Here is an 11,314-nt window from a genome sequence, read left to right on the forward strand (position 1 = left end):
TTGTAGGACTTCTCTTCCTTTTGAGTAGGATTGGTAGTGTGTTTGGGAAGAGTACACAGAAAGCATTAAATGTATCTGAAATTATTACTTATACTCAAAAAATTATCTGAGGCAAAAGTAGCAATATACTATGTTTAATATAGTTTGTATTGTTCTCTGAAATATGCTGTATATAATACACAAATACATGCAAATACATGTTTGTGTGTGTGTATGTCATATCTTGATGACAGAAAAACATGCATTTTTTGTAGATTTATGTTTTGAAATACAATTATATCATTTTGCAAGGTTTTGTTAAAGTCTACATAAATATGATTAGGAACATATACAAAATAAATAATTTTAGGAGACATTGCCAATCAGAGCATGAATGTGTTGTTGATACGGGATAAGTTAAATGAAATGAAAGAGTTGATACAGTTACTGTAAAAGGCTAATATGCCAAAATATGTTTATATACAATATATTTTCTAGAATTCATTAATGTTTAAAATCTTATTATAAATATATTCATTTATCCAGTGTACAATTTTATTAATACAGTGAATATATTTGGTAAAACAATTTTCACAAGCAATGTGTTCTCTTGGATTTCTTCTTCTTTTATTATCATAGATAAATGACAGAGTAATGAAAATTGTATAATCATGAATACACTGAGAAAGCTTTCTTTATTACTTAGCTTTTGGTTTACCAACTATTACATTGCTGTGCAACTACAGGCAATCTGAATTTGACCTATTCTTTTTTTTTTCTTTATTTGAGTCGGAGTTTCGCTCTGTCGCCCAGGCTGGAGTACAGTGGCACAATCTCGGCTCACTTCAAGCTCTGCCTCTCAGGTTTTAGTGATTATCCTGCCTCAGCCTCCTAAGTAGCTGGGATTACAGGCGTGCACCACCACATCCGGCTAATTTTTTTTGTATTTTTAGTAGAGACGAGGTTTCAGCATGTTGGTCAGGCTGGTGCTCGACCTCCTGACCTGATGATCAACCTGCCTCGGCTTCCCAAAGTGCTGGGATTACAGGCATGAGCCACCGCGCCATCACAACCTATTCTTCTTGAACATGTTAGTGAAAAGTTATCTATTATTCACATAAAATATAACAACAAAGAGATGTGCCACTACATTTAGCTGTGTTTGAGAAATGTTCAGTTTAGCAAGTGGTCAAGTTTCCCAGCTATTATTTTACCATTGGAAAAAAATACATATGTCTCTTCTTTTGTAGTTGTAATAATCTATGTTGGTTTTCCATACAATCTTTTACTTGATTAACCTACAGAGCTTTTTTACTACTTATCTTGCTATCTAGACTTTATCTTTTTAGATTTCTTACATTTCCTATTTATTAGTACAGGAGTTCTGAAGCTGCAGTGTAATCTCTTTCATCTGTTATTATTTTTCTAATTATATGTGTTTTACATAAGATATTAGATAAATATTTGAAAACTAAATAGGTAAGTTCTAAATATTATCAGTGCCCAGACATTATAATTAATATTTGGAATGCTTGCTTTCCAGTTTTATCAATGTGTAAACTCTTTTTAAGTTGGACAGGAATGGTCGGGCATGGTGGCTCACACCTGTAATCCCAGCAATTTGGGAGGCCTAGGTCAGGAGTTCGAGACCAGCCTGGCCAACATGGTGAAACCTGTCTCTACTAAAAAAAATAAATAAATAAAAAATAAAAATTAGCTGGGTGTGGTGGCAGGTGCCTGTAATCCCAGGCACTCGTGAGGCTGAAGCAGGAGAACTGCTTGAACCCAGGAAGCAGAGGTTGCAGTGAGCTGAGATGGCGCTATTGCACCCGAGCCTGGGCGACAAGAGCAAAACTCCGTCTCAAAAAAAAAAAACAAAAAGTTAAACAGGAATTATATGATCTCATATGTCTTTTAAAATGTATTGTAAAAGTACAGATAAAGCTAAGGTCTTCTAGATATCAAAATGCAAGGCTTTCTTCAGATTTACAAACAAGTATCAGAGGATAAGCAGCAAAACAAAATGAAAGCCCTATACTAAATTATTTCTACACATAGAAAGCCTCCATTTATTATTTATGTTTGTGATTTTATACTCTAATGTATCACTATTTAAATTATAGCTGTATTTTATGTATTGATAATTGTTGGTTATCAGCCTTTGTTCTTTTATTCAAAAGTATCTTAATTATTTCATATTACCAACAAATTTTAGAATCAGCTTGTAAATACCACACAAATTTATTTTAGGATTTTTATGGCAATCGTGCTGAAGGTATGAAAGAATTTGGGAATGATTGGAGCTTTTTGCAATATAAAGACTTTACATCCATTAACATGGTATGTATCACCATTTATTGAAAATTCCTTTCATTAAATGACAGATATGCAGCTATTTTCATTTTTCCTTGTAAAAATAATTTCTATCCCTAATGCTATTTATTCTACACCAATATTTGCCATTATTGATGTACTAGCAGCTCATATTTCAAGAAACATTGTTTTGCCTGAGATTAATATCCATTATGCCTATATGTAAGACGTTGGTGCTGAATGAACATGACTTTAAAAAAATAGATTGTTTCTGGAGCAGTTTTAGATTAACGGCAAAAAATCAGAAGACAAAGAGATTTCCCATACTGTTATTTTTTGTTTTACTCACAATATTTGTATTAGTAAAATACACCATTTGAATGTAGCTAAACGGTGTTATTATTAGGCAAAAATGAAATCATCATTTATGCCTCCCACATTATCAACATCCCCAACCAAAGTGGTGCATTTCTTGCAACTGATGAAGCTACAAAGACACATCATTATCACCAAAGGCCATAGCTGACCTTATGGTTCACTCTCAGTGTTGTACATTCCATGGGTTTGGTTAAACTTATAATGGCATATATCCACCATTGTTGTATTATACAGAATGGTTTCACTGCCCTAAAAATCCTCTGGGCTCTGCCTATTCTTCCTTTGTTACCTCTGCACCCGCCCCCTCCTGCCCCATCCCCCTGGCCAGAGGAAGACATTTTTAAAGAGTGAAACCTACAGCTATTAAATAATCAGTTTTTCTTTCAGGTGTTAGCTTTGACAGAGTCATAAAATGTATATTTAAATTCCAGAATTTTTAAAGAAAATAATCATATTATCATACAATCCTAAAGAAGCACTGATAATAATGAGTAAAAATACACTCTATTTTCCATTATATGTTGACTTTTTTGGGAATTTTTGCATTTAATGCTAACAAGCACTATATAATTTATAGAGTATGGAACACTGAGGTAGAAACATATTAATTTGGCTTGCTACTTAAAGTTAGGTCCAAAGCCCACAGCCTGAGCTCCTTAAGAATACAGAATCCCAGGCCCCATCCCAGATCTCTTAGACCCAAATTTACATTTCAGCAAAGTTTAGCCTTGTGATTCACTTGCACATTACATTTTGAAAGGCATTTTTCAATGTTACAAAGTTAGTATGGTCTGTGCCTAGGGTGTGGACAGAAAATATTCTGACTCTTTGCCCTCTTCCTTTCCTATCTTACTTCACCAATCTCCTTTGTAGATAATCTGGCAAATATTCTCTACCTTTTATTTAACCCCTCCAGTATTAGGGAAGCAGACTTTTTTCACCAGAAAACATCTCATTTTTGACCAGCTACAATAATTGTTATTTTATGGAACAGAAAATTAACTTTTTAATGACTTCTCAATATTTTTTATTGCTTGTTCTACAGAGAAAAAATAAACAATCTCTTTTCAATATGACAGTCCTGTAAATATTTGGAGACATTTTTGATATTATGATTCATTTTATCCTGGTAGCCAATTTCTTTAACATATTCCCAATGGTTTAAGTATTTTTTATTATGGCAGCCTTTCCTTACATGCATTCTACCTTTGTCGTTGAATAACGTCAAAATGTCATACATTTAGTAATTAATTCAAGATACTTTTGCTGAGAATCTATTATGTGCCTGTGCTAGATGTTAGAGATAGAATAAGGGGCAAGATCTGCATGTCCCAGCCTTCATGAACATTGGGAACTGAACCTAATAAACTAGATTGAGACCTTGGCTCCATACTACTGTTATTTCTCTTGCTCTGACTCATACTTGTGTTAATGAAGACAGGCTTTGTTTATGTGAGGAGGTGGGGAATAGGGGAGCACTTTGTGACAATAGGTAGATCTCCATCATTCAATTCTGAGAGTATTTTTTGACATTTTCACGACCACTAGTCTACAAAAATGAATAAGTGAAATTTGTACATGCAGTAATAACAGTGTATTGTAAAAAATATTTTACAATTAAAAAATGCTATATATAATATCATTTAAACTAGCAGAATATTGAAGAGTGGCATAAAGAAAATGTGGAAGATAAACTCCATAGAAATTGATGTACAGAAAAAAATAAATAATTCAAACAGCTCAGAATTGGTTATTACTGATCCTATGTTCTGAATCCTAATTGAAGTCTATTTCTCCCTCTACTATGCCGTCATTTTTGAAAGAATAACACCAGTGATTATTGTTTATTTTCTCTTTTCTTGAAGTTCCTTTTGTTTTTATTTAGTTTTTTGTTTTGCTCATAATATTTATATTAGTAATATATTCAATTTGAATGTAGGTAAACAGTGTTATTATTAAGCAAAATAAAATAATCACTCATTCAACCTGCTGAGAGAGAACTGACAGTGATTTTGTCTGCCAGTTGTATTAACAGGAACTTAGATTCTTTGACGTAGCATTAGAAATTCCAAAAATCTCCATAGATCTAATTTTAGCTATTATCATTAAAATGCTATAGTGGCTTTTACAAGACTACCAGATACATTTTCATAATTAGGCTTTAATCTATTCACAAGTCTTACACTTATCTATAATTTTAGCAAACAATCAAATGATTTATGCAATGACAAGATGAAAAATGGTTTAATGCCATTCTATTCAACATTTGAACTCATGAATGGACAAGTGTATTTAAAAGAATGATGTGAACCTTTTCATATGAGGTATTTAACATTTATTAGTTTTCTTGTTTTTGAGAATTAAGACAGATTCATTTGCAGCAATAACATTATACATTCTTATGTTTACATCATTAAAGATAAATAAGTGCATGATTTTGAGGAAATGAAAAACAGATTTTTGAAAAGTACTTGATTTAGTAAAATTATCACAACTACAATCACATCAATCAATGACATAAGAAGTTAAATAAATGTGTAAAGTAAATGGATAGCTTATAGAGTACTTACTACTTTCTGACTCTAAGATGTAATTAATAAGCAATGACATAAAGAAGGTATAATTTGCTTAATGGATTAAAAAGTCTGTCAATTTTTTTTACACAGGAGCTAACCATACACGTTATATTATCTCTAATTTGGTTACTTTTTTCAGGATTTTAAGTTTATTTTAGAATTAATATGTTATGATTAAATAGACGTGTTTAAGACATAAGCTATCTTTGGAAAATGCTAACAATCATCATTTTTATCAGTGATTGAATTAGCACTATTTTGCATTCTTTTACTATTGCATTATGTGTATTGTATGTACCTGGATGGGTTATTGAATAGGCCGAACCCAGTGGGATTACAAAATGAAAATTACTTTTTTTTAATCAACAACCACTTTTAATCAAAATGATGCTGAGTAATATAGAATGTTTCTTTCTGATTAGGTGATCCAGTAGAGAAGAAGAGAGATTTCCGTAGGAAAGAAACTCAGTATGTCAATAAAAGAAGAGTTTGCAGCAGCAATGTTGTCACTACACAGTAAGCATTAAGTAAATTTGAGATTCTTTTCTCATAAATATTATTGAAGCAACTATCAAGCTAATAAACTGTTTCTAAGTACTGGAATATTCTATACAAGATAGTGATTATTATAATGACAGGCTTTCAAATCCCAACTAAATTGCTTCCCAGATATGTGACATTACTATTTTGTATAGGGCTATTTTCTTGGGACCTCAGTTTTATTATTTTAAATGGTTATAATGAGAATACTTACCAAAAACATGCCATTCACTTAACATAACAATGTCCAGTTCCATCCATGTTGCTTCAAATGACAAAATTTTATTATTTCTTATGTCCAAGTAGTATTCCATTGTGTATATATACCACATTTTCTTTATCTATTCATTCACTGATGTGCACTTAGGTTATTCCACATCTTTACTACCGTGAATAGTGCTACAGAAAACAAGAAGCACGAGTATTTGTTTGATAAGTCAGGCACAGAAAGACAAATACCACATGTTGTTACTCTTATATGGGAGCTAAAAAAGTTTATTTCTTGGAGGTAGAAAGAAGAATGATAGTTATAAGGCTGAAAATGGTATGTAGGAGTGGGGAGTAAAGAGAAGTTGGTTAATAGGTGCAAAAATACAGGTAGATAGAAGCAATAAGTTTAGATATTTGACAGCAGAGTAGGGTGACTATAGCTAATAACAATGTAGTGTATATTTTAAAATAGCTAGAAGAGAGGATTTGAAATGATAAAATACATAGAAATGATAAATACTCAAGGTTATTGATATTCTGAATACCCTGATTGATCATTACAGATATTATGCATGCAACAAAGTGTCACCTGTATCCCACAATTAATACAAATACTATGCATCAGTAAAATGTTTTTAAAATAAAAGATGCCCTAAGGATTAAATGCAATCAATATTTTCTGTTATCAGCCCTCTCAATTCTCTATTTTTAACAGAAAAATTTATCCTAAAAATACTGCTTTACTTATAATACTCTCAAGAGCTGACTTTCATTCTGCAATCTCTATTTGGAACTAGAAGTTTTAGCCAGGTTTTGTTTGATTTTCCCATATACCTTCAATATAATATTTTATATTTTTATTTTTGACATTTTCTACTCCTATAAAACATATACTACCTTTGGATAGTATCTTATTCTCATTCTTACAGCCATGCTAATGTTAACATCTATGTTTCTCATAGACTTGGAATCTGGACTGCCATCGTACAATCTCTGATGTCTTCTGACAACCAAATAGGTGACCCTTATTCCTGTGGCGTTTGTTAGTAGATCCAACTACTTTAGCGATGGATACTGGTTGTCACATTTTTGCTCTTGCTAGCATGAATTATCTTACCTCCAAAATCTTTAACATGAGATTCTACACTATGGAAGAAATTTTGTTTTATTTCTCCTTCATGGCCTCTCCTAGTATACCTATTCTCAAACGCATTATGACTTCTAGTCTATGGATGAGAAATATTTCTTATGAACTGAATTTCTTGTGAACTGAATTCATGTTGCTCTTCAGAGAATGGAGTGGATGGTGCAGATGTAATTGAATTGGTCAAGTTAGATTGAAAAAATCAACTTTACAAATGAACCTAGGTAAAACAAATTATTTTAATCTTACAGCATGAAGTCAAAGGTGATCAAATTTTTGCTAAAAATTTAGAATTATATATTTTTGAAGGAAAAAATGTTCAGTCACAACATGTACTAAAGCAAGTCAAATACAGTTGATCCCTGAACAGCACAGGTTTGAACTACATTGGTCTACTTAAATGTGGATTTTCTTCTGCCTCTGCCACCCCTGAGACAACAAGACCATCCCCTCCTCTTCTCTCTCTTCTTCTGCCTACTCAATTTGAAGACAATGAGGATGAAGTCCTGTATCATGATCTGCTTCCACGTAATGAATAGTAAACGTATTTTCTCCCTTATGACTTTTCATAACATTTTCTCTTCTCTAGCTTACTATATTGTAAGAATATAGTATATAATACATATAACATACAAAATATGTGTTAATTGACTGTCTATGTTATTGGTAAAGTTTTTGGTACAGTAGGCTATTTGTAGTTAGGGTTTGGGGGAGTAGGAATTATGTATAGATTTTCTACTACACAGGGTGTGGGGGGTCAGCACCCCTAACTCCCACATTGTTCAAATGTCAACTATGGTGAAAATAAAGTTAAGGCCTTCCAAACGCCTGATTTTACAATTGTGAAAGCAAGTCCACAGTGTTGAGAAAGACTTCATGAAGAGGTAGAGACATTCTCTGGAATATCTGCTTAAAATATCTCAAACTGTTACTTTTGAGATTTTCATAACTAAAAAAGCATACTTACATACAGTTAAATGTTTACATAATGAAGCAAATAATGTCCAGTGAAATTTTTCAAAGGGGCTGTAACACAGAGACCTCAATTCATGAAAATGCTAGCTGAAATCAGATTTGTCCTCTCAAGACCAGGTCTTAGAAGTTTATTGAATGACAGTTAAGCTAAAGTATGATCAATCATCATTTTCTAGGGTAAAAAATGTTTACATTATAAATATATATGATTAGTTCTAAGCACAAAGGAGGAATAACTTAATTGCTCCAAATATTCATTAACATACAAAACTAACAATTTAAATAATGCTTCATATTAATAGGCAATACTGCCAGCAAGAGTATAACACATTGAGAATATGTACATTATCCTACATTGAAACTTCTGTTTGTCATTAAGTTCAGGTACCTTTAATTATGTGTTATTGGTTAGAGCAGTAGGAAGAATGATACTCTATAAAAATTGATATGCATAGCTATAAATTATTTTAAATGTTATTATGTAAGTGTGATGTTACGCTAATTGGAAGAAAAGGGGGAAACACATCTCAGGAGCATTCTAACATGCAGAAAATTTTGGTAAATTCTTTGTTGCAATACCTGAGTGAAGTAACTGATTTTTAAAATTATGCTAAAAGAAGACGTTATCTCACAAATATCTCTACAATAAATTGCATTTATGCTTAGCTGGAAGTTTTGAATTTTATTTTATATCTCTAGAATTAACTTAGTTTTCAATGTTAACCATATTTCACAGAATTATCTCTGAGTTAACTTTATAAAAATAATTATATATTTGTCTAAAATATTTTTTCGATTTTTAAAATTCTATTTCTAAACCAACTTTGTGTTCCTCCAACCCATCTGACCACCTCTCCTCTTTCAGCAGTTTGAAGAGTTTGAAATGAAAATTTTCAATTTTTAATCTAATTTCCATGCACGCACACACACACACACACACACACACACATCTATGGACCCCAGTGTGGTCTGGAATCACTATTGATCATCCTTCTTGTCCTTATGTGCATAACTCTCAGCTGCTTCTTCATCCTGAAGAGAATACTAAAGGGAGCTTCCCTGATGCAAAAAGATTCTGTAATTTGAACAGTTACAGCATATTTTTTTGTCTTTTTTTGGATTGTTTATAATTAAATACTTAATATACATGAAAGAGTTCATGTAAATATATATATATAGTTAACATATTCATAGCACCAACCAAGTCAAGAAGAATTACCTTGGATGTATGCCAGACACTTCCTGCTTTGTCTTCCTTATTCAAACTCTTTTGCCTCCTTACTTGAGGCACAAGCACTTTACTAATATTATATTCCTTGCATGTATAATTTGATCCTTAAAATTATAGTTTTGCATATATAAATAGAATCTTACTTAGGCATGTCCAAGCTATTCATTTCTTGCTTTTACTTGCTGTTTGTTATGTTTATAAATTTTAAATTTTAATTTACATAACTTTGCTGTAAATTGCCAAATTGTTTTTCCATTCTTTAATGTTTGTTGCTATATACTATTCCATTAGGTAAATATATCACAGTTTTTGTCCAAATATTATTAATAAACATTTTTGTTATTTCTGGTGTTACTATTGGAGACCATGTTGCTATGAATATTCTTGTACACTTTTCCCAATGCACATAAATTTCGCATATACTTTAGTGCTTCTTGATGGTGGTTTTGCTAATTGGGTATATGAATTTTTAACTTTGCTACAAATTGCCAAATTGTTTTTCCAAAGTAGTTTTTTTTTTTTAACCAATTTTGTACCAGCCAAGTATAAGATTTTCTGTGGCTGTCTAGTATTCACAAAAGGGATATTTTCAGCCATTTGTTTTTACTACCCTGGTGAGTGTGATATACACAATTAAAACGTACTCACAGAGAAAATCTCGGGCGCAGATGCCTTCACTGGTGAATTCTTCCAAATCTGAAGACATTAATACAATACCAAATTTCAGAAAATTTATTACAGAAAAAAAAAATCTCTCTAGATGAAAATAAGCTCATTCCCAGAAAAATCTTACCAAACCTGAGAAAGATTTTCAATGAACAAAAATTATAGAACAATTTCTGCCATGAACATGGATGCAAAAATCTAAAACAAAATATCATCAAATAAAACCAATCTTATGACCAAGTGGGAATTATTATAGGAATGCAAACTTGTATTAAAAAAACCACACTCACCATATACTCAGTAGGTGCAAAAAGAGAAAAAAAGAAATTCTATAAAACTCAATACTCATTCATGCTAGGAACTCTTACCATGCTAGGGATTGAAACAGAATCCTTATTTTGTTGGTTAACTTAATATATAATAAACATTATTAAACTCAACAGCCAACTTAAGTAAATCATTGAAAATAGTTTCTATCTATGTTCTCATCTGTCTTCCATCCCTCTGCTTACTGCAATGGTAAATAATGTCTAAATTTGGTGTTATATTCTCTTGTTTTTTGGTCAACTTTATTATGTATAATCTACATACAATCAAACACACTATATTAACTATATAATACAATGACATTTTACTACTGCATACATCCTGAAATGACCAATATAATAAAAAATATTCAAGACCATAAAGCATTATTTGTGTCTCTTTGTAAGGACCTTGGTTTTAAAAATAATCTTATCAGATTGATAGACATGCCTAAATAATATATGTAGTTTAAATTGCTTCTGAAGTTCATAAAAGTCTATTACGTTGTATGCAATTTTGTTGGAATTACTTTTTTCGTTCAATGGACTGTCAGCAGGATTTATCTATATTGTTTAGTATAAATTTATATAGATATAAATATATATGTAAAATCCTATACATAGTTTTCCATTGCGTGATTATAACATACTTTATATATTCTTCTGTGAAATTCGAGATCTTTCAAGTCTGCTATTATAAGCAGTGCAACTATAACATTATTGCACATGTCTCTTTTTGAACATGCACCATAGCTTCTCTTGTATATATTTGGAAATAAACTCTTGGAACAGAGAGTCAGGAAAAGTTCCAAATTTACAAGAAAATAAAAAAATTCTTTTACATGTTTTAGCTAATACTGGTTATACTAAATTTTTTAAAACTTTCCAATAAATAGATGTAGAATGGTATTTCATTGTATAGTAGTATTGATTTGTATTTTCTGATTGTTAATTAGTTTTAGTATATTTGAATCTGTGAATAATTTACAAAAATCTA

At 31.3% G+C, this 11,314-nt stretch overlaps 1 long non-coding RNA gene across 1 annotated transcript; it reads left to right on the plus strand.

Moving 5' to 3' along the window:
* The first annotated feature begins 2,228 nt into the window (after positions 1–2,228).
* On the plus strand, positions 2,229–10,697 carry LOC102724863 (uncharacterized). Its single transcript, XR_428756.5, has 3 exons — positions 2,229–2,319; positions 5,669–5,762; positions 6,959–10,697. It is a non-coding gene; the product is annotated as an uncharacterized LOC102724863 (long non-coding RNA).
* The last annotated feature ends 617 nt before the right edge of the window (positions 10,698–11,314 follow it).

This window comes from Homo sapiens, chromosome 10 (genome assembly GCF_000001405.40).
Source record: "Homo sapiens chromosome 10, GRCh38.p14 Primary Assembly".
NCBI classification, from domain to species: Eukaryota; Metazoa; Chordata; class Mammalia; order Primates; family Hominidae; genus Homo; species Homo sapiens.